At 33.9% G+C, this 26,065-nt stretch overlaps 1 protein-coding gene across 8 annotated transcripts in view; it reads right to left on the bottom strand.

Annotated features, from left to right (window-relative positions):
- Nucleotides 1–26,065, bottom strand: part of CDH18 (cadherin 18) — a 1,104,418-nt gene that overhangs the window by 1,001,786 nt on the left and 76,567 nt on the right. Inside the window, exons 1-2 of one of the 8 annotated variants that reach the window (XM_017008928.3) lie at nt 16,582–16,947; nt 15,266–15,368 (exon numbers count right to left, since the gene is read on the bottom strand). The exons of 6 other annotated variants lie outside the window; for them this stretch is intronic. The gene's annotated coding sequence lies outside the window, so the exon portion shown is untranslated. Of the gene's footprint in view, nt 1–15,265; nt 15,549–16,581; nt 16,948–26,065 lie in introns of those variants that run through there. One more of the 8 variants, XM_017008926.3, reaches the window with a different exon arrangement.

A 26,065-nucleotide genomic window follows, 5' to 3' on the forward strand; every position in this document is an offset into this window, starting at 1 on the left:
ACTAAGTAGTTTTCTTAAGGTTCTATAAATGATGAGTTTTAAAGATGAGATTCAAACATAGCACTATCTAGTGTCAAAAGCTGTTCCTGCTGTTAATGTTTTGTTCTACTTAATACAACTTAATGAAGATATTTGTTAAAAAACAAAAACAAAAAATTAAAAAATGCCAAAAATAAAATAAAAGTTACTCGTGCTCAGTAACTCAAACTGTTAACATTTCAACTTACATCTTTCCGAATTTATGTTTGACTGCATATAATGTATAGTATTTCAATAATGTTTAATGTATTATTTTGTGACAGGACTTTTATACTTGAGTGGGTATTTTCAGTTTTTCTAGATATTTTTTCAGGTGTATTTTATAACATTACATTGGAAGGATGCGCTATGACTTCACTAATTTCCTGTCTTCGACATTGGATTTTCTTTTTGCTATTTTACTATATTATATATAATGTATAAATTCATTTTTCTTGTACTTAAAATATTGTTCTTTTCACTTGAATTTCTTATTTTCTTGGGATAAGTATTTCCTGTTACAATTATTTTCTCAGCGTATGCATGCTTTTGTGGCTTTCTAAACAGATTCCCAAAGTGTCTCCTGAAATGTATCAATTGTTTCAACAATAAAGCACGATTTCTTATTTTTTATATTTTTGCCAAAAACTAGGTATTATTCTTGGTTATTGTTGTGGTTGCCAATCCTTGATTATTTTTGATAATAGCATCTTAACATCAGATAATCTTATTTTTCAAAATCAATAGAGAAGACATTGTCCATGATATTATTTACCATCTGTTCTTTGCTTTTTAAATATGCTATCCCTTTTTCCCTCTTATCCACCTCAAACCTTGCCTTATGAATTTGTAAATGCTGTTCACTAGTAAAAATATCATCCTTTTGCTTGCCACATAATTGTAAATCTCCCCTTAATTCTAAAAACAAGATTGAAATAATTATATTTTATGTTCTTCTTAGTATTTTTACATTTATTTGTTTAATCTAACTGAAATATATTTACCTTTGAGGTGTTAGATCAGAAACTAACATTTTATTTCCAAGTAGCTTTATTAGTCCCAGCTACTCGGGAGGCTGAGGCAGGAGAGTGGCGTGAACCCAGGAGGCGGAGCTTGCAGTGAGCCGAGATCCCGCCACTGCACCTTTCCAGCCTGGGCGACAGAGCAAGACTCCTTCTCAAAAACAAACAAACAAAAAGACATTCATCCAGCTCCAATCATTAATAATTGTTATTCATTTTTGGAGACTCTACTTCCACTAGGTGCTCCAATCACTTCCTCTAAGCTGTCACTGTCTCTAGCTTACTAAGTTCCCAGAAGTTTCCTTCTCCTCACCTGGCCGAAAGAAACATACACATGGGACCCTGCTCCCGGCCTATGCTGGCCACTTAGTTCTCAGTCTTGGAATTTAAGAATCAGCTCTTATAGACTATAGTCAAATTGATTAATTTTAGACAGAAAAATCATAGGGTTGGAAATACCATTCTACACATGAAAAGTTGACCTGCAGAGAAAAATAAAAGACTAAAATGAATGTCTAAAAAGAAATAGTGATTGACCTTAATTCACAAGATGAGAAAGGAAGTCCTAGAAGGCAGCCGCTATGGAGACTCCTGGTGGATTTTGAGACCATTTGCCATTTATTGGGGGTCAGTGTTTGCTCTTTGCTGCTGCAAGATATCCTTTTATTAGGCTAATAAATTCTGCCTTTTTATTTCAGCTAAGAATGTGAATTCATTTATTTGCAACCAAATAACCTCTAAGACTCAAACATTTATACAGAGGTGCGTTTCTTGGCTTTTTCTTTTCATTTATTGTGCTGTCTGCTTATTTTTACAGCAGAACCACATTACTTTAAATAGCATAACTTCCCAGTATATTTGAATAGCTAGCAGAAGCCATCATTGTAATTTTTCTTGTATTTGATTATATGTGTGTTTATTTATTTCCAGAAAAAACTTGAGTATCATTTCATCTTGTTATAACAAAATCCATTAAAATTCTAATTATACTAAAATTCAATGTTTAAAATAATTCAGTATGACTGCACATTTTTCTAATATACAATTTTTATATAAGATAATAAAAATGTGTCTCAATTATTTTCATATTGTAGTTTTTTATTGTGTAAGAATTTATGCATTATTTATGCATGATTCATTGTACAATTCAAAAAGCATTTGCTGATTTTTTTTTATGTTCCAGGCATTAAGCAGTACAGTGAAATGAGAAAAATCACTAAATAAAATGACCCTGGAGAGAAAGAGACAGACATCATTATAGCCTTCTTAGATTAAGTGTTTTGGTATTTATAACAAGAGCAACAAAAGCCATTGATAGGCATTAAGCAGAGATGTAAATGATCAAATTTGTATAAGATCATGAATATTCATACGTTGGTAGCTTTATTTGTGCTATTATAAATTCAACTGATTAGCTTTGACATATAGGAAAGCCATTGATTTTGCAGGGTATGTATGTCTGTATATTTGTGGTAATCATAAGTTCTAAAAGTTTTTAAATATTTTTATTTGAACAGTCTAGGTAAATAATACTGTCAATTTATATAATAATTATACCATCTACTTACATAACAATTCTTATTGGTTTTCATTTTCTCTAAGATTGCAACTAGTTTTCCCCTGTTCTAACACACAGGTCTCTTTCTTGCCCATTACATTAGAGAGGGTTCAGTCAGGGGAAAATAAGATGCTTTGGGTATTTCAAAGAGAAAGATACTTAATACAGAATATTAGAGGCTTGCATAAAAATGGAAAGGTTTGGATTGCTGAAGACCAGGTATACCACTTGGAAGACATTTAGATGTGTCTGCAGTCATTCAAGTTGTCACAATAGTTTCAGGAGTCTGAAAAACTAGACCAAATGTTTCTCAGAAGAACACCATAAGATGTGCCAACTATTGATCTCAACTACTCTCTGTCTCTGTGACATAATTCTCAACTGCCATTTGGGAAAAATTCTCAGCTTGCTTTCAATCCATGCAATTTAAATAAACACCAAATCTCAAATTCTGGTTGTAGAAGTAAGGATGTTATCCATAACAGACCTCAAAACTGCATTCTACTGACCACAATGATTGGTTGAGGTTTCAGCATAGTAAGCATAGTACCAGGCAAGGCCAGTGACTAATCTACAGTTTTGCTGAGATGAATTATTTTCACTGAAGTTATTCATTTAACAGAAGGTAGTTAATATACCGATACTGGCCATCATGGTCATTACATTTGAAAAAAAAAAAGCCTGAAAATAAAATACCAACATAAAGAAAAAACTGAACAATTTGATGAGTCAGATCTTGAAGACTTTTTTTGAATAATTGATTCCAGTGATTTCTAGGACCAAGTTTAGAGTTGAATTTCTTAATTATATTATCCAGTTTTGCTAAAGCCAATTGAGTTGAATTTCTTCACTTCTACTGAAAGAATCCTAATTCAATAATTATACCTGTTACGTGCACTTTATATTATTTTTAGACATGGCATTCATTATTTCAATTAAGTTTTCTGCATTTGTATTACACATTTAGAATATTTTGTGTTGCCTCTTTGAAGTTTCATGCATTAAAATAATAATGTAAGAAATTATAAAGTTCTCCAACTATTACTCTGTGTTAAAAGCTTCTATTTTTGCTTGAGAGTTTTTCTTTTGTAATTTAAAATAATTTTAATATAGTACTGTCTATACCATGTATCTATTTGAAGAACAGTTTATTTCAGCAATTATAATTTATATTACAAGGCAACCATTTTATTCAGATCTATTTTTTATTGAATCTGGTTTTGAATTAATTTTGTTCTGTAATGTTGTAACAGAGATTTTTAAAATAAATTAGGTTACCAAGTAATCTTTTACTTTTCCTTGCGTTTGTGTCTGCTGTTTTTAATTTCATCGAGATTACAGAGTTTTAGGGATGCTATAGGTATTTTTCTCTTACAGTGTTCTGTGGATTGCTTTACAGAGGGAGGGCAAATATAGTTAGCATCTCCAGGGAAGAGTATTCCATGGGAATGATAATGGAAAAGTGATCACTCCTTTCTACTTAGCTATATCCCTATTAGGGAGAAAAATATACACACACACATACACACACCCACACACACACGAGGGAGAGAGAGCAAGATGGCCAAATAGAAGCTGCAGTGGTCATCCTGCACGCTCAACTATCTAAACAACCAACCACACAAGAAAGGACATTCATGAGAACCAAAAATCAGGTAGGCAATAACAGTACCTGGTTTTAACATCATACCAAGGAAGGGGGAACTGAAAACAGTAGAAAAGACAGTCTTTAGTTCTTCTGTCATTCCCTGGCAGTGGCCACATAATGTGGACAGAGAAGCTGTGTGTTTGTAGGAGAAAGAGCACAGTGATTGTGAGGCTTTGCATTGTAACTTAGTGCTTCCCTGTCACAGCAAAAAGCAGCATGGGGCAGAATTCGGATAGAGCCCATGGAGGGAGCATTTAGACTTGCCCTAGACAGAGGGGACTCTCCCATCCCAGTGATGGGAACCTGAGTTCCAGCTAGCCCCAACGCCATGGGCTAAAGCGATCTGGAATGCAAAATAACTTGACAGTCAGTATAGGACAGAAGGACTGCAATTGCTTGGAAAGTCCTGGTGCTGAGCTGGGCTTGGTGCCAGTGAACTTGGGGTGCATACAACCCAGTGAGACGCCAGCTGGGGCACCAGTCTCAGGCAGCACAGCTCACAGCTCAGGAGAGACTCTTTCTTTCTGCTGGAGGAGAGGAGAGGACAGATTAAGAAGAATTTTGTCTTACAACTTGGATATCAGCTCAGTTGCAGTAAAGTTGGGAACAGAGTCCTGAGGCCCCTATTCTAGGTCCTAGATCCCAGTTGATATTTCTAGACACACCCTGGGTAAGAAGGGAACATGCTGCATTGATGGGAAGGACTCAGACCTAGAAGGATTCATCACCTGCTCAATAAAGAGCTCTTGGGTCACAAATAAATATTGGTGGTATCTAGGCAGTTCTCATTGCAGGACTTGGGTGAGACCCAGGGATGTGCTGGCATCAGTTGTGACCCAGCACATTCCCAGCTGTGGTAGCAATGAGGAGAGTCTTTTGCTGGAGGTAAGGAGAGGAAAGAGTAAGGGAGACATTGAGATGCAGCTGGGACACCAGCTTGGCCATAGTGGGGGAGAGCACAAAGTTGGCTCCTGGGGTCCCCAATTCAAGGCCTTGGTTCCAGGATGACATTTCTGGACGCACCCTGGGCCAGAGGAATGTCTGCTGCCCTGAAGGCAGAGATCTAGGCCTGACAGCATTCATCACAAGCTGAATAAAGAGCCCTTGGGCCTTGAGTGAACATGGAAGGTGGCCATGCAGTAACTGCTGTGGGCCTGGAGCAATGGTAGTCATGGGGATAAAATCCTTCTGCATGAGGAAAGGAGAGAGAAGACTGGGAAGGACTTTGTCTTACTTGAGTGCCAGCTCAGAAGCAACAGAATAGAGCACCATGTCAATTCCTAAGGTTCCCGACTCTCGACACTGGCTCCTGGAAGGCATTCTAGAACCAGCCCTGGGTCAGAAGGGAGCTCACCACCCTGAAGGGTAGGACACAAGCCTGGCTGGATTCACCACGTACTGACTGAAGAGCCCTTGGGCTTTGAGTGAACATCAGCAATAGCCAGAAAGTCATCACTGTGGATTTTGGGTAAGATTCAATGCTATGCTGGCTTTGGGTCTGACCCAGCACAGTCCCAGTGATGATGGCCACAGAAGTGCTGGTGTCACCACACCCTCAGCCTCAGATGACTCAGCTCAGAAAGAGATTCTGTTTGAGGGAAAGTGTGGGAAGAAAATTAGACTCTCTACCTGGTAATCCAGGCAATTCTTCCGGATCTCACCCAAGACCACCAGAGTGGTATCTCTACACATCTGCAAGAGTCACAGCAGTACTGGGTTTGGAGTGCTCCCCAAACCATATATGGCTGCATTGACCAAAAACTTAGATCAACAACACTCGATGCTTTTTGAATACTTGGAAAACCTTCCTAAGAAAGATAGATACAAGCAAACCCAGGCCACAAAGCCTAAAACAAATAGGTAACTATTCAATGCCCTAACATTGACAAACATCCATGTGCATCAAGAACATACAGGAAAATATGTCCTTACCAAAAGAAGTAACTAAGGTACCAGTGACCAATTCCAGAGTGACAGAGATATATGAAATTTCTGACAGGGGATTCAAAAGTGCTGTTTTGAGAAAGCTTGATGAAATTCAGGATAGCACAGAAACAATTCAGAATACTGTCAGACAAATTTACAAAGAGATTTAATTAATTTTTAACAATTATGCAGACATTTTTTAAATGAAAAACTTAGTTGACATACTGCAGAATGCATCAGAGTCTCTTACTGGCAGAATTGATCAAGCAGAAGAATCAGTGAACTTATAAACAGGCTATTTGAAAATACACAGAGGAGACAAAAGGAAGAAAGAATAAAAAAGAATGAAGCATGACTACAAGATCTAGAAAATAGTCTTAACAGGGCAAATCTAGGAGTTATTGGCCTTAAAATTATTGGCCTTATTGGCCTGATGAGGTAGAGAGAGAGAGACGGGGGTAGAAAGTTTATTCAGAGGAATAGTAACAAAGAAATTTTCAAATCTAGAGAAAGTTATCAATATTCAAGTATAGGAGGGTTCCAGAGCACCAAGTATATTTAACCCAAATAAAACTACTCTAAGGTATTAAATAATCAAAGGTCATGATAAAGAAAGTAACCTAAAAGCAGCAAGAGAAAAGGAAGAAAAAACATACAAAGAAGATCTCATGTGTCTGGCAGCAGACTTTTCAATAAAAACCTTACAGGGAAGGAGAGAGTGGCATGACATATATGTGGTGCTGAGATAAATAAATTTTATCGTAGAATAATATATTCAGCAAAAATATCCTTCAGACATGAAAGAGAAATAAAGACTTTATCAGACAAATGAAAGCTAATGGATGTCATCAACACGAGATCTGTGCTATAAGAAATGCCAAAGGGAGTTTCTCAGTCTGAAATAAAATAATATTTATGAGCAATAAGAAAGTATTTGAAGGTAAAAATCACACTGGCAATAGTAAGTACACAGACAAATACAGAAAATTATAACACTGAAAATGTGGTATGTAAATTACTGATAACTTGAGTAGAAAGATTAAAAGATGAATTAATCAAAAATAATGACTACAACAACTTTTCAAGACATAGACAGTATAACAAGATAATAATAGTAACAAATAGTTCAATAAGGAGGAATTATGCTAAAGTGTAGAGTCTTTTTGTTTTTGTTTTTGTTTTTTGAGACAGTCTCACTCTGTTGCCCAGGCTGGAGTGCAATGGGGTGATCCTAGCTCACTGCAGCCTGTGCCTCCCAGGTTCAAGCAATTCTCATGCTTTTGCCTCCCAAGTAGCTGGGATTACAGGTATGTGCCACCACACTTGGCTAAGTTTTGTATTAGTAGAGACAGGGTTTCACCATATTGGCCAGGCTGGTCTTGGACTCCTGACCTCAAGCAATCTGCCCTCCTCAGCCTCCAAAAGTGCTGGAATTACTGCACCTGACCAAAGTATAGAGTTTTTATTAGTTTTTGCTCGCTTGTAATTTTATTTGTTTTTTCAATCAGCATTACTTTTTCATCAGATTTAAAAAAATGGGTTACAATATGTTATTTGCAAACCTCATGGTAACCTCAAATCAAAAAGAACTGCCACTGCCACACATAAACAAAAAATAAAAAGTGAGAAATTGAAACATACCATTGAAGAAAATCATATTCACAAAAATTTGGATGTAAAGGAAAGAAGACCACAAAAAATGGAAACAAATAACAAAATAGCAAGGTGAAGCCTTCACTTAATAATAGCATTGGATGTAAATGGACAAAATTCTCCAGTCAAAAGATATAGAGTGGCTGCCAGGAAAAAAAAAGCAAGACCCAGTATCTGTTGCCTTCAACACAGTTCACCTATAAAGACACACATAGACTGAAAATAAAGGGCTGAAAACAGATATTCCATGCAAATGAAAGAAAAAATGGAGGAGTAGCTAATTCAGACAACTTTTTAAGCCAAAAAAAAAAAACATAAAAAGAGACAAAGCAGATCATTATATTATGATAAAGAGCTCAATTCAGCAAAAGGACATAGGAATTGTAAATACATATGCAGTCAAAATCCGAGGACTCAGATACATAAAGCAAATATTATTAAAGCTAAAAGAGAGATAGCTGCAGACTTCAACACTCCATTTTTAGCAATAGGATTGACCATCCAGACAGAAAATCAACAAAAACATATCACACTTAATCAGCACTATAGAAAAAATGGACCTAATAGGTATTTGGAGAAAATGTCGTTCGACAGCAACAGAATACACATATTTCTCCTCAGCACACAGGTTATTCTCAAGGATAGACCATATGTTAGGTAACAGTTTTCAAAAAATTTTGAAATTATAACAAAGATTTTCTCTGGCCACAATGGAAATAAATTATAAATGAATAACAAGAGGAACTTTGGAAGCTAAACAAACATATGGAAATTAAACGACATGCTCCTAAAAGATTAGTGGGTCAAAAAAAGTAATTAAGAAGAAAATTTTAAAAATTCTTGAAACAAAAGAAAATTGAAACACAACATGCTAAAACCACTGGGACACTGACAGTAGGACTAAGAGGAAGGTATACAACAATAAGCACCTATGTCAAAACAGTAGAAAAACTTCAAATGCAAATCCTAATAATGCAGCTTAAAGAATTACAAAAGCAAGAGCAAACCAAACCCAAAATTAGTAGAAAAAAAGGAATAATAAATATCAGAGAAGAAATAAGTGAAATTGAATTGAAAAAATATAAAAGATCAATAAAACAAAAATTTATTTTTTTGAAAAGATAAAATCAATAAGCCTTTAACCAGAGTAAGAAAAAAGAGAGAAGAATAAAATAAAATTATAGATGGAAAAGGAGACATTACGATTGAAACTGCAGAAATTCAAAAGATCATTAGAGACTGCTATGAACAGCTCTATGCCAACCAACTAAAAAATCTAGAAAAAATGAATGAATTCCTAGGCACATATAATCTACTAAGATTGAACCATTAAGAAATCAAAAACCTGAATAGACTATTAACAAGTAATGAGATTAAAACCATAATAAAAAGTCTTCCAGCAAATAAAAGCCTGGGAACCAATGGCTTCATTGCTGAATTTTAGCAAAAGTTTAAGAACTAATACCAATCCTACTCAAACTATTACAAAAAGTAGGAAAGAAGAGATTACTTCCAAACTCATTCTATGAGGCCAGTAATACCCTGATACCAAAATTAGACAAAGAAAAATACAAAAAAGGCCAATATTCTTGCTGAAGGTATATACAAAAATCTTCAATAAAATACTAGCAAATTGAGTTGAACAATACAGTAAAAAGATAATTTATTATGACCAGGCAAAATTTATTCTAGAGATTCAAGTGTGGTTCAACATACACAAATTAATCAATGTGATATATCATATGATCAGAATGAAGGACAAAAACCATATGATAATTTAAATTGATGCTGAAAAAGCATTTGATAAAGTTCAATATTTCTTCCTGATGAAAACTCTCAAAAAAACTGGCTATAGAAGGAACATACCTCAACCAATAAAAGCCGTATTCAACAGACCCACAGCTAGTACTATACTTAATGGGGGAAAACTGAAAGCCTCTCCTGCATGATCTCAAAACTTGACAAGGATGCCCATTTTCACCACTGTTATTCCACTGTAGTAACAGTGCTGGAAGTCCTGCCTAGAGAAATCAGACAAGAGAAAAAAATAAATAGTATCCAATTTGGAAAGAAAGGAGTCAAATTATCCTTGTTTGTGGTATTATATTTAGAAAAACCTAAATACTTCAACCAAAACTATTAGAAATGATAAATTCAGTAAAGTTGAAGGATGTAACATCGGCATACAAAAACCAATAGTGTTTCTATGTGTCAATAGTGAACAATCTGAAAAAGAAATCTATAAAGTAACCCCATTAACAATAGTTACAAATAAGATAAAATACCTAGGAAAAAACTTAACCAAATAAGTGAGAGATATTTAAAATAAAAACTACAAAACATTGATGCCAGAAATTGAAGAGGACACCAAAAAAGAAAAAGATATTCCATATTTTTGAATTGGAAGAATCAATGTTGTTAAAATTTCCATGCTATGCAAAGCAATAAACAGATTCAATGCAATTCCTACCAAAATAACAATAATGCGTTTCACAGAAATAGAGAAAATAATCCTAAAATTTCTATGAAACTACCAAAGACTCAGAATAGCCAATGTTAACCTGAGCAAAATGAACAAAATTGGAAGAATCACTTTGGATGACTTCAAATTATACTATAAAGTTATAATAACCAAAACAGCATGGTACTGGCATTAAAAGAAAAGACACATAAATCAATGAATCAGAATAGAGAACCTAGATATAAATTCATACCTGTACAGTGAACTGATTTTCAAGAAAGTTGCCAAAAAAAAAAAACATACATTGGGAAAAGGACACACACATCAATAAATGGTGCTGGAAAAACTAGATATCCACATGCAGAAAAATGAAAATAGATTTCCATCTCTTGCCATATAGATCAGTTCAATCAGAATGGATTAAAAACACTTAAATCTAAGACCTCAAACTATGAAACTAGTAAAAGACAACCTTGGGGAAACTCTGTAGAACACTGGTCTGGGCAAAGAATTATTGAGAAATACCCCACAAGCATAGGCAACAAAAGCAAAAATGGACATATGAAATCACATCAAGTTAAAAATCTTCTGCACTAAAAATGGAACAACAAACAAAGTGAAGAGACAATCCACAGAATGAGAGAAAATACTTGCAAACTATCCATCTGACAAAGGATTAATAACAAGAATATATAAGAATAAACAACTCTATAGGAACAAATCTAAGAATCTGAATAAAAATGGGCAAAAGGTCTGAATAGAAATTTCTCAAAAGAAGACCTACAAATGTCCAGCAGATATATAAAAAGGTGCCCAAATCACTGATCATCAGAAAAATGCAAATTAAAACTGCAATGTGATATCTTATCACCTCAGTTAAAATGGGTTTTATCCAAAAGACAGGCAATAATAGATGCTGGCAAGGATGTGGAGAAAAGAGAATCTTTGTACACTGTTGGTGGGAATGTGAGTTAGTACAACCACTATGGAGAACATTTTAGAGGCTCTTCAAAGAATCTAAAAATAGAGCTACTATATGATCCAGTAATCTCATTGCTAGGTATATAACCAAAACAAAGAAAATCAGTATATGGAAAGGATATCTGCCCTCCCATGTTTATTGCAGCACTATTCACCATAGCCAAGATTTGAAGGCAGCCTATGTGTCCAACAACAGATGAATGGATAAAGAAAATATGCTACATATACATAATGGAGTTATTATTTGGCCATAACAAAGAATGATGACCTGTCATTTACAACAACATGGATGGAATTGGAGGTCCTTATGTTAAGTGAAATAAAAGGCACAAAAAGACAAACTGACATAAAAAGAAAAGTTCCAGATGTTCTCAATTATTTGTGGGGGCTAAATATTAAAACAATTGAACTCATGGAGATAGAGAGTAGAACGATGGTTACCAGAGGCTGGGAAGGGTAGTGGCGGGATAATTAATGGGTTCAAAAATATAGCTAGATAGAATGAGTAAGATCTAGTGTTCAATAGCACAATGGGGTGACTACAGTCAATGATATTTTATCATACATTTTGAAACAACTAAAAGAGTATATTTGGATTGTTTATAACACAAAGAAATGATATATTCTTGAGGTGATTGATAAAAAAAGTGAATACTAAACTTTTGAAATAATGATATGTTTGAATGTTGTCAATGGTAGACTGTTGCTAATGTATGATTCAGACATATGACAACAATCCACTGGAAAATAAGTGGAGCAGTTAGAAGAAAACTAGTGCTTTCACCCCTGTGTTAGCAGTATCTGGCTTGTCTCATTCTAGTCTTTATTTCAAACCACAGGGACTTTGTGACTTTAGCTGTTAATTTCTCTCTTCTGATACGCCTCTTGTCATTCTGACACTACAACTATACCAGTGTTCTAAGACTGACTAATGGCTTGAGTTATACTGTAGGCTTTCCATTGAAGATGACATGTGTGTAATGTTTATTGGTCATTCAAAGAACTAACACACTTCTAACAAAAGGGACAGGACACCATTTATCTATCCTGAATATGACAATGGGCATGGCTTAAGCCCCAATATGGACAAGAACATATACTTGTGGAAGGATGATAAAAACTAAATATGTTAATTGTGTGTATACAGTTTTTGTGCATTATAAATATAAGTGCTCATATGTGTATATGGCTGTGCAGAAAAGATAAAGTTCATCTAATAAATTTCCTCTATTTCAAATTAATTTAGCCTTTTAATTTTTTCATATAATGTCTCAATTCTTCCATCAAAATCTATCTTCAGAAACAATCTGAGGTAAGTAATACTGAATTTAGTAAGATTTTCAGGCTCATGGGTGAAAAAAAGTGTTTTGCTTCCTCTATAAGTGCATCTTTATGCTTTCAGCGAGTAACCTGAGGGTACATTTTGGCAACAAAAATGGGATATCTTGTAGGAAAAACATGTCATAGTTAACATAACAAATGAAGTAGCAATTTCATAGCACATATATGATGTATATGAGCATAATATTTAAACCAGGCTATTTTGAAGTTGGGTATATTGTAAACAAATATAGAAGAGTATTAAGCAAAAGAAGTGATGGAATAGGCTCCATGGGGTCATGTGGGCTTCCTTTTGCAACTGAAACTAACAGATAAAGAAGGGGCTTGTTATTTGGCTGGATGATCCCGATTATGAAGGGTTAAAAGAGTTGCTGTACCAGCGTGGATATAGAGAAGAACTTTTCTGCAATCCATAGGATGTGCTGGTGCCTTCTTAAAACCCCAGTTCTAATTGTAAATGTGAATGGAAGACTAGATAAGCCCTAAGTATATTAGACTAGCAAGGACTTCAAAATTGAAGTTTTGAGTCATTTCATTAAGTCGAAAATATTGAAAAGAGTAAGCGATATCTAAGAGCAAAAGGAACATGGTATATTGCAATATGTAAAGATCAACTCTGGTCTTACAAATAATGACTGAAACAAAGCCTATAGAGATTGCATGTTTCACTCAATATATGCAACAATAAATATAATACATATTATGTATATGCTAGCATTTATATTATATACATTTTACTCTATCTTGTTTCTCTTATTTCATAGGCATGTGTAGGTGATGATCATCTTTATGATTTAGAGCTCAAATTTCTGATTATTAAAGTTTTATTGTGACCAAACCAAAATAAGATTAGCTGTAACCCAGACCTGGGAGCTGAACTGATGAATTTTGGATCCCTTTTTTTTGATGAGTCATAAGCATGTTTTTATTAACATGAGGAAGACTTCATTACATTCAACAGGAGCAAGTTGTTTTACCTGTTGCTATTTTTGTATATATATATATATATACATATATGTGTGTGTGTGTATGTGTGTGTGTGTTGTGTGTACTCCATTGAAATTAAATAGTAAAGAGATGAATGGTACTGTATGTTATCTACTAAAATTTGTCAAAATTTTCTATTTCTTTTATGTTAACTTTTGTAGCTAAGGGGCTGGAAAACTATTGCCTAAGTTCTATACTCAGATTTAAACCAGATATGGTTTTTGTTGCTGGGATGTCTCAACATGAAAACTGCAGTGGCGACAGGGAGGCAGAAGATGCTGCCTTCCGGCAGTGGTTGTGGCCTAGGGATAGGTTACAGCTGACAGGAGCATCTGCAGAGCCAGGACTCATGTTCCCCTGACTGCGTTACAGTTGTGAGTGTATGACAGCTGTGGCAGCAGCAGCACTGGCTGCAAAGCCTGCAGTGTTTTCTGGATCTCTAGTTCAACACTGTGGTTGCAGGTTCTTGAAACAAAGTTTCCCATGGTACTGGCTCTAGGTCCTCACCTCTAACCCTTCCAGTGACGTTAAGGGATCTAATTTTCTGTTAATCCATTCTTAACATAAATGAAAATCCCAGCATTTTCTGTTTCCTATGCTGAATCCCCACTCATCTAAAAATGTTTTATCCATATATATATGGAGATACATATATATAAACCTATATATGTATAAACCTATATATATATATAAACCTATATATGTATAAACCTATATATATATAGGTTTCAGGATTTACTTTTAATCAGAGAAAAATATAATCGGGCTACATCAATATATTTACTGTATAGGTGATGAGAAATTTAATTATTTTGGAAAATAAATACAAAATATATGTATATACATATATCTATCTATTTCAGGTACAACTTATTATATGTTCATAAAATATCAAATTTCCACATTTGGGGGTTTGCTATATCTTAAATATCACTATACAGCCAAAGTATATAAATTCCTTATTTTATTTCAAAATCTGGAAATGGGAAGTGCATATCCTAAGGATAATTTGAAAACATTTTCATTATTAACTGCCACAAATTTGTTAGGTAATTATGAACATGAAACAATAAATAGCATGCATATATATATATATGCTATATATACTATTTAATAGTATTATTAAATAGTACACAGTATTTTAAATCACATCTCCATGACAATATTCCAGATTTTAATATCACGAAGATAAATTAGCCATGTTTAATTTTCTTAGATTTCCTCAACCACAATTCGAGATCCTAATGTAAAACCTGAACATGAGACACTGTGGAAGTCTCCTCCAGCTGTTCAGTGAATTTGGAGTTGCTTTTAGCGATGGCCCATCTCTCAGTGGCTGATTGGCTGTCCTGCCTGTCATTTCCATGGATGCCATTTCTTTCTTGCAGTTCTGAAAATGTCATATATTTTGCTCCTGGGAAGATTCTTTTTATCCTTTTCAAATTTCAACAATTTAGTGCAATTTCAAAAGAAATATCCTCATGTTATAAAATATATAATTGGAAATCTAAAGGTTTGATCATAATTAAAAATATTTTAAATACATATGCATCACTTGTAATTTTGCAGCCTGTAATTGTATTTCACCTAGGTCCATACATACACATATGCAAAAGTACAATCAAGTTAAAAATGCTTTAAAAAGAAACAGTTGAAGGATTTTCACGTACCCTTTTAAGACATTTCTTCTGACAAGGTGAGTCAGTCTTTCACTGAGCTCAGTGTGGTGTGTCATGCAGGGGATGTGGATTCCTTGAATCTTCATAAAGGGAGCTTTCAGAATTTAGGACAAAGGATAGTATAAAAAGCACATAAGGTAAAATTTGATGTTGTTTCCATCCATTAAAATGATCTCTTCCCAAAACTACTTAAAACAAACAATGTCTATGTTGGATTTAAAACTTACATAAATATGTCATTGCTTTGTAGTGGTCGTTGCCTTGGTAACGATAATGTAGGAAATTCATATGCTCTTTTTGGTTGGAGGGGTAGTGTTTTATATATATATATATATATATATATATACACACACATACAATTGTTTATCAATAAAATTCCTTGAAGGAGGAATAATAAAACTAGCAGTTCTTAATTTCTAAATGAAAAGCCACATTTATGTAAACCTAAGACCTTAGAGATAGAAAATATTTGTTGTCATAGAAAATATTTATTAAGTGCCAACTATATGCCAAAATAATGCAACAAAGAACCTGCGGTTTTAATTTTCATATATTAATTGTGGTGACAAACTGCTTTTCATACATGTATATCTCAACATTACCTCTTTAGTGGGGAGAATACAGTTACCGAATACAGACTCCATATTCCTCAGATGTAGTTAAGATGGAAGCAGCTTCCACTTTACCTGCTCATTTAATCAACATAACCCTCAAAAATCTATTTTCATATCTCTATTACATACATCCAGGAAACTTGCTGAGACCTCTATGCTTCTATATGTATCATTCACTATACCAGCTATTTTTAAATTTTGATTTTGTAAACACAAGCTGTTCTCCTTGAGATTTAGATATGACAAAGAAAACAGATCTCTCCACTCCCCTCTCACAATTTTAAGCTAATGTTTAGAGCATATCCACTCTGGATGGCAAACAAATGATACCAGACAATAATACTACATGTATTTTTAAGCTGATAAAAGATTATACATGTGGGTAAATTGGTCCCAATCATAAGGCTAGCAATGATTATTGAATATTTTGATAATGAACTATGTAACTTCCAAACACTAGCAAATAATGATTATTGTTTAAAACTTTTAGATGGATAATTATATCCTTCATACTTTTTTCTTTGTAAAAAATGATCTTGTGAAAAAGTTCCAAGTGGAGTTGCTAAAATTATGTGACCTGTTTATTAAATAACTGATTTATGTAATTCACAGTAAGTTTGTAATATATTTAAATATTCATCCTATTACAGTTCAAGATAAAAAAGTTTTTTTCCAGATTCTTCTGTTTCTTACATTTTTACTTCCAATTATGCCTTAGGTTAAAGAAAATCATAATCTTTTTCAAAATTAATTGACGTCCTGCAGCTCTGGGTTGAAATTTCATGGCAATTGTTTTCAAACATTGAAGTTCTGTAGCTGACAAAATGAAATATAAAATAACCATGGTTACTGTAGGGAATAACAATGTTTACTTTTATTCAAGCTTTTTTTAATGCTTATATGGTTCAGGTTTTTATTTTAATATTCATGTTCTTATCTAATAGATTCAACTTTACTAAAATGTCTAAAGAAAACACTAGATTTTTATTTACATATACAAACTAGAAAGATTTTTCCATATGCTCCATCTTATCTGATAGGGTTTTAAATAATAAATATAATAAATCATTAATTGAATATTCTATAGATAAAATTGCTATAATAATATAATTGTTAATATTATTAATAATACTAATTAATAAATAATCATTGCTACTCGCTAAAGAATGATAGACCAATGGCATTTTGATAAATAATAGCTTGTACTCCCACCATGCATTCGGGCCCTGGGGCCATTTTTATGATCAAAAGGCTTTACAGATTTATGGCAAACATTATAGTGTGTCATTTTTAGAGACTGTAAAATGTTCATAGAACTTAGTGGCAGTGAATTTTATCCTTTCCTTTTTTCTAATATCAATAGCCAATGAGACTATACAACTTTCTAGATAATAGAATGAGACAATGCTGGGGTTTAGTTCTCCTGACTCTAATTACATGCCTACCTCCCTTATTAATTATCTTTAATATAAAAAGTTGGGAAACTTCATACTAAACAATCAAAGTTCTATTAGAAGGCTTCATTAGGTGAGTGATCAAATTATGAAGATAAAGAGGAAATGTAAATATGATAATAAAAATACCTTACACTCTGACTAGACAGAAAAAGACTATTATAGATAAGTTGAAAATAAACCCACATTTGTTCAAGAGGAGGGTAAGTAAGTACATAGATAGAGGCTGCAATTCACTTAGTGATGAACAGCCTGGAGTTTGAGGTCAAGTTCTGAATACGCAGTTCAGTGGCCACTTGGATTTGGGCAAATTATTTTATTCTTTATGATGCAATTTTCCATATCTCTAAAATCATTCAACCATTCTAACCTCCTAAGGTTCATGTAAATAAATGAGAACATGAAAAAGATACAGCTTAATACCTTGTACATATTGAAAACTCAAATTTTAGCTCTTCTCATAATTACCTTCCCACTAAAAATAATTTGAGGAATACAAAACATTAAATGATGGGGGTATCCTTAACATTTTAAGTCCATTTAATGGAAAGTAAGTAGATCCTTTCAAAAATTGTATAAGCACTTCAAAGTGACATTTATTTTCATGGAACAATTATAAGTTTAAATACATATGCAATTTTAATTTAAACTAAAAGCATACATTATATTTTTAGTTTTTAAATATTTTTACAAATTAGCATCCTACAAAGAATTAACATTCTAAAATATGTCTAAATTTTTCTCCCTATGATGTTTAGGTATAGTATTTGGTTTATTATTATTATTATTATTATTATTAAAAAGAATTTAGAAACTTGAGTATAGTCTAAAATGTTCACCATTCTCCATGTATTAAATTCCTGAGTTAAGCTACCAATTGATATTTCCACAAGAAAACCAGGTAATGATCGTAAGTTTAGTAATTCTTAACTGTAAAACAGGAAATTTTTAAAGAGGGGAAATATATAAGTCTGGGTCCTCCAACAGGTTCTCTAGAACCAATAGGATGTATTTGCATGGGAATGTGATTTATATAAAGGAATTAGCTCATGTGATTATAAAGGATGGCCAGTCCAAAATCTGCCAGATGAGCTGGCAGGTGGAGACCAAGGAAAGAGCCAAAGTTATTGTCTAGGTCTGAAGGTTGTCTGGCTGGAGACTCAGGAAGCAACCAGTGTTGTAGGACAAGTCCAAAGAGCATCAGCGGCAGAATTTCCGCTTGCTCAAGGAGATCAGGATTTTGTAGTATTCAGGCCCTCAACTGATTGGATGAGGCCCACCTACAATTATAGAGGCCAATCTGCTTTCCTCAAGGTCTGCTGATATAAATGTAAATATCATCCAAAAACACTTTCGCAAAAACATTCAGAATTATGTTTGACCAAATATCTGGACACTACTGCCTAGCCACAATGACACATAAATTTAACCATCACAGGGAACCTTCTCTGTAACAATTAAATTATGGGCCTTTTCTTAAACATTGGAATTCAGTTTTCATAATGTTTACTATTCTACCTATTTTTTCTAATTTAATTTTTACTTTTAATAATATGTTTTATTTTATTCAATATAATACAGGATTTGTGTATTATTTTCATCTTACTTACAGATTGTATTTCTTTCTGCTGCCTAGAAAAATTCAGTAGGTTTACTTAATAATTTTGATAAACAAATTATTTACGTATTCTGAGGGCCATACTGTACCTCCCTTTTGGGGTATAATCTCATCAGTCATGTTAAGTAGTAACATTGATTTTTTTTTTGCCAGAATAAAACTGTAATAAAATATAGGGGCATTTGCTACACTATAATATACTTTCCAAAAACCCCTTATAAGTGATTATTTGGTTATAAATTTCTTTGGTTTTCAGCATCACCTGACTTTCTTTAGGAAAAAAAATGAAAATTGGCTGAATATAGACAAGGTTAGAATACTAAATTTGCAGTTATTTCTTTCATTTAACAATTATAATTTAAAATAACATATTTTTCAACCAAAGCATTTTATATTTTTTGAACTTTCCCTAGTAAAGTTGTGGAAATGTTAAAAGGAATACTAAAATCAAGAGTGCACATGAAAATACAGTTCTTCATTTCAAATGTTATACATATGAAATATCGTTGGTAAAGTTCATTTTTAGATTTATGTGGAAGTAACTTTGTCTTTCAACTTGACAGGAAAGGTTGTTCTTGGCAAAGCTCTGTGTAAATAAGTAAATGGTATAATAAGAAAAAGAAAGTTTGAGACATATTTAAGATATTTCATGTACTTATAATTACACAATTGACACATACTCATATTAGAATACTGTATATAAAAGAATGCTAAATTGTGTTTTAAAATACATTATATATTTTTGCCCCCAGATTTCTTTCAGATGTTTTGCAGAGATATTTTGATAACACACACATGCCTTGATGAATCGCTGCACTCATTGCTTAGCATAATATATTTATTTAGAAGACTAAACCTGGAAAAGAATAGATATTTAATGACAGTCCCTAAGAAGATAAGCCAACATCTGATCAAGAAAACTTGAAACAGACTCTAGTAGATGATAAAGAGTTAAAAACAGGATTATTTGTGTCATGCACTATGGAAATACTTCAATGTCAAAAAACTTTATGAAATATGTTTTTGGCCCGGGGTTGTGGCTCATGCCTGTAATCCCAGCACTCTAGGAGGCCTAGGCGGACAGATCACCTGAGGTTAGGAGTTTGTGACCAGCCTGGCCAACATGGTGATGTCCCTTCTCTACTAAAAATACAAAAAACTAGCCAGCATGGTGACACTTGCCTGTAGTTCCAGCTACTCAGGAGGCTGAGGCAGGAGAATTGCTTGAGCCTGGGAGGCGGAGGTTGCAGTGAGCCGAGATCATGCAACTGCACTCCAGCCTGGGTGACAGGGCAAGACTCTGTTTCAGAAAATTAAAAAAAAAAAAAAAAAAAAAAAAAAAAAGCAAAGAATTTTTTGTTTTATTTTTTATTGTTTCTGTTGTCTATTTGTGGAAATAAACAAAGGCCACTCAAATGAGAACAAGCACAGGCTATTTATTCAGAGCTTGCTATAGGAAGGGAGTCAGCTACCATCATTTGCATAAGGCAGACCCCAAGGCAGGTGGGGTGCTGGAGAGCTTTAGAGTGACAACAGGGAAAACTTCAAATATGCTCTGAATCAAAGGTGGCAAGGGAATTCTGGGGGCAGCTAACAGAACTGGGCATCTTATATAATTCATTTGGGAGCATGTTTTTTCCTCTTTTGTTGGTCCTGTGTGAAAGCATGGGAAGAAATGGGGATCAGGCAGTCATTGATCAAGTCCTCATTGTTTTGGGTAAATTGCCTTAGAGTTGATGGTTTGGTTTGCCAGGATGGGTGGATGCAAAGTGTGTGGACTCCTTGCTCAGAAGTTATAGGTCAAGCTTCTGGTGTTACATCGGGTCTGACTATTGTCCATTTCCATACTCAGTCTCCCACATGAGAAAAACCCTCTGTTAAGAAAACAAAAACAAAAACAAAAACAGCAAAAAAAAAACCAGCCTTGTGCAGTGGCTCACGCCTGTAATCCCAGCACTTTGGGAGATCAAGGTGGGTGGATTAGTTTTACTTGAGTTCAGGAGTTTAAGACCAGCCTGGCCAACATGGTTAACCCCCATCTATACTAAAAACAAACAAGCAAACAAATAAAAACAAACAAACAGACTGGAAACTAGTTATGCTACTATTTTACTCAAACAACGTAGTTTTCTTAGAGATAGACAAATACTCTAAATAGTTCCCAAATTGAAGAGAGTGGAATAGACTCCAAAATGAAAATAAAAAAATCATAATATAAAATTTTAAATACTGCAAACTGAGTGTAGATATTAGAAGTACAAAGGAAGAGGATAAAGGCAGAGAGGGATAAGAGAAGAAGCAGTAATGTCTGCAGGGAGTGTTCAAAGTCCTAATAAAATGTAAACTTCAAGAGGGAGGTTGTGAGAAAGTAGATAAAAAATGTGGGAAGAGGACCTTACATGACTGTACAGGAATTTTCGTTTCAAGATGACAATATACATATTTTTTCTTATTTTTCTATCTCAAAACTGTCTGAAAAAGTATAAGCACATTGAAAAAAAGAAAATAACTGTTTTCTCATGAAAAAAGAAATTGGCCATAATTTCCAACCACACTTTTGAAGAATGCCTTCAAAAGAAGAACATTTTGAAGAAATGTTAACAAGTCAGTACCCAACCTGGGGAGAAAATCTAAGCTCCTAGTTCTGTCTAGGATAAACCAGATAACCCAGAGTCTCATTTCTTGATGGGCTTTCTATGGCCACCTTCTTTAGAGCAATGCAGCCTCGAAACATGAGTAGGTCTGGAGGAGTGGGGATATCCCTACAGAAAAAGTCGGTTATTACCAAGAAGTAGCGGAGGAAAGGAGCAGAAGGGAAAACATGCTGACATGCTATTTTAATTGTCCACAGCCCTGGGTCTTGGCCAAAGGAGCATTCGGGGATAGAATGAGGGAAGCAGAGAGAGACAGTGAATCCCAGCAACTTCTTAGGTTTAAGGTCTCTGTTAGGTGCAACTCCACAGTTGAATGACGAAAAATAAGAGGAAATGTGAAAGTACAAGGCTGTAAATTGTACAGGCAAAAACACCTGAATATAACATTGTACCTTTCTCATTTCTCTATAATTTTATGTAACTTGGCCTTGGAGTTTATCATTTTTTTCTCTACCGTATGAATATTTGGCCATTCAAAACCTCTGACAGCTCATTCTCTTCCAATCTGAAAGTCTCTTTGGTTACATCCTCAGTCAAGATCAGGTTTCTCTTTGTTTCTCTTCTCTCTTATACTTAGATTATTTGAAATTCAAAGTTTTACTGTATAAATGTTAAGGCCCTTTTAATGTGTTCACAAATCAACCGAGACAACAAATGTCAATAACCTAAAGGAGAACGGCATTGGCAAAAACAACAAAAAAGAATGCTTAAAGCAGTGCCCAGGTTAGGATTATTCTAAAGCCTGCTTCAGAAATAAAATGATAATGCTATAGTAATGACAGCCTATTCAGCAACAAACCACAACTGAAGTTGAAGACTCCAACTGTTCTTTTATTTTTCTCTATTTCCATCTCTAATTTGAAAGTGCTCCTCCCAAAGAACAATCAGATCATGGCATCTACCTACAGAAACAGGAAGCGGAAATGTCACAGGAAAAACATACAACCAGGAAACAAGAAAGAGTTTATACTAATAGTTGACCATAGTGATCACAAAGATACTGTTGGCATAATCTCTGTTTAATAAAAGAGATCTCAAAAAAAGACAAAAGTGACAAAAGAGAGACTATGAGACAGATTAGATTTAAATATCGAGTTCTAGAACTCAGAAAATAAAGTCAAAAGATAGCAATGGGAAAATACAATGTAGAAATAAGGCACAGTAGAAACAACAGCCACACCATAGTTATTAATGCATCTGAAAAGTTCAGGAAGAATGGAATACAACTTGACTAAGTCACAAAATAAAAGTTTGTGAATTGGACAGGACAAGAGACAAAATCAGTTATAAAGAGATGATAAATATAAGAAACAAAAGAGATCCAAGTGTGGATAAATAATATTATTGAGTTGAGAAGAGAAAGAAATGGAACAGGAAACAGATAAATAAGTAATTAAGACTGTGATGAAATAGATAGGCATCTGAAGATTGAAAAACACACCATATACTGAGAAAGTAATTTAGGTCAACACAGGACTTATCTTTGTGATATTAGTGAATTTAAAATAAAGGAGATTGCAAACCCCCTGGGTAAAATAAACAAGTTACTAGGAAAGGGGAAACAATTTATCTTTAGGTTTCTACAGCTCAATACTGTGATGTTCATGTTTTCGTTTAAAGGGTGTGACCCCAAAATTTTAAACCTAATCATATTGTCTTTTAAACACAAAAGTGAAAGGATAAAATATTCATGATTTTTAGGATAAAAATTAGTGGATTAATGTCTGCCAATCCAAAAATAAAGGAAAATTAATAACACTGTAATCCAGAATATTTAATATTTTACACATAGAATTGAATATACCATTATTTAAAATATACAATTGATAAAAAATTATGGTGATTATTTAATATTCATTTTTTTGAGATGGAGTCTCGCTCTGTCGCCAATATACTAATGAGGAAACAATGTGGGAATTATCGTTTCAGAGCAAAATTTTATAGTAATTGAGAGATAAATTGTAAATGTGCTCTTCACGCTTTTACTTGTATGGCATGGAAAATATTATAAGCATGCTCCTCCATTCATTTATTTCATAAAGGATAATTAGTAGTTGCTATGCTCAAGACACAGTTCTCCATGCAATCAAACACCTATCTCTAACCTTACGTAGCTTTCAGTCTATTGCCTGTGGAGGCAGAGGGGGATAAAGGCATTAAACATAAAAAATAAGTAAATTTTATGAGATGTTAGAAGTTGACAAATTTTACAAAAATAAAAATAAAAAAATAAAAGAGAAAAGGCATGAAGGAGCTGTGGGTGCTAGTGGAGGGTGGGGCAAAATTGTTCAGTGTGGCCCCACAGAGAAGGTGATGTTTGAACAAAGATTTGAAGGAGAAGGTAGAAAGGAAACCATTTAGAAATTTGAAGGAAAAGCAAATGTCAAAAGGAATAGCCAAGCAAAAGCAGTGCTCATGTTTGAATTAATGTCATAAAGGCCAATGAAGCTGGGGTGGAGGCAGCAAAGAGGGAAATAGTAAGTGAGGGCTCAGGGAGTAATCGTGAACCAGGTTGTTTTGAGCCTTATAGGCTCTTGAAAGAGCTTTGAATTTCTCTTATAGTTCTTGTCAAAGAATTAACTAATACAGAACAAATTTAAAATATATCACAGGCTAATTAACAATGATTCAGTCAACAACTAACAATGTGTGTGATTGTGGTCCCATAAGATTATAATACCATATTGTTATTGCCTTTTACTATATTTAGATACGCTTAGATACACAATTTCTTACCATTGTGTTACAATTGTTTACAGTATTCAGTACAGCAGAATGCTGTATAAGTTTGTAGCCTAAGAGCAATAGGCTGTACTATATACTGTAGGCTTGTGGTAGGCTATAATATCTAGGTTTGTGTAAGTACACGCTGTGATGTTTGCACAAGCATGAGCTCATCCAAGGACAAATTTCTTAGAACATATCTTTGTTGTTAAACAATGCATGACTGTAGTGGTGGAAAACTAGGTCATGATTTTTCACCCATGCTTACCCATGAAAGTAGATATTTTAAGAAATAATGCATGAAAAATAAAAGAGACCCTCATGAGAAAATATCTTGTCTGTCAAAAAGAGAGTTCGTTTATTAAATATAAAAAAAGCATTTGCTATACTATGCTGTTAGTATTTGTGTCCCCTACAAAAGTCACAGGTTGAAACCTAATCACCAGTCTGATGCTATTCGGAGGTGAGGACTTCGTGAGGTAATTAGATCATGAGGATGGAGTCCCCATGAATGAGATTAGTGTCCTTATAAAAGAAGTCCCAGAGAGCTGTCTTGCCCTTTCCCCCTGTGACAACACAGATAGAAGGTATTATCTATGAGCCATAAAGTGGGTCCTCACTAGAGATCAAATCTGCCAGTAACCAGATCTTGGACTTTCCATCCTCCAGAAATGTGAAAAATATTTTTTGGTTGTTTATAAGCCATTCATTCAACCCAGGTGAACCAAGACAATCCTTATTTAGTGCTATACTTTGCGGATTAGTAACTACTAACTTTATAGTCATGTGACTTGATGATATCAAGTCCATACATAATTTTTGTACCAGCAGTAGTAATTCTCTCTTCCTCTTGCATATGCACATTTCAAAATGTGTTTCTGAATCTAAGCTCCCTCTTTTCCAGATGTAACACAATCAGCTGCATGTAATGATAATTTCCTCTCCAAAGACTACTCCCTCTCACATCCATTGCTATTCATCTCCTCCACTTCTTCATATTCTTGGGAATCATTGGAGATTGCTTGATCATAATTTCTGATGTGTATAGAGAGATACTTATTTTAAAAACATTAAGATTTTATCTTCAATAAAAAGATGACTTAAAAAAGTGAGAGTTATATTAACTCCATGATTAACCTATGAGTGTTTAACTCACAGTGATTATGATTTTTCATTAATTGTATCACTATATAAATATAATGTTAAAATAATCCTTTAGTTGATAACATATTTCACTTTAATTTCTCATGATTTAAATTTTAAAACTGTTCTTATTCTATGTTGTTCTTATTGTTTCCACAGGTTATTACAAAAATATCAAACAGATAATTAAAGTGAGCTTGTAATAATACGTGTCTTATTTAAATATTTAATTTTGTTAATATTACAAATGCTACAATAAGAAAAAAATTAAATGGTCACTAAACATAGATTTAAATTAAATTCTACATTTCATATTTCTATGCTTAAAATGGTTGTAACTTAACAGAATGAGTGAATATTTTTAAATATCTGGTTATAGAAGCTTTTGTATTGAGCTTGTGTTTCCTGGTTTAATTTGCATACTCTGGGTTACTGGTTTAGAAACGCAGCTCACAATTTGTTCATAATCCTCCTCTTTCCTGCTTCAAGCAATTACAGCTCCTCAAAGATAAGTGAGCTGTGAACAAACTAAACTATATATACATATACACTCTCACACACATACACACACACACACAGTCTTC

Source organism: Homo sapiens, chromosome 5, assembly GCF_000001405.40.
Source record: "Homo sapiens chromosome 5, GRCh38.p14 Primary Assembly".
Lineage (NCBI taxonomy): Eukaryota > Metazoa > Chordata > Mammalia > Primates > Hominidae > Homo > Homo sapiens.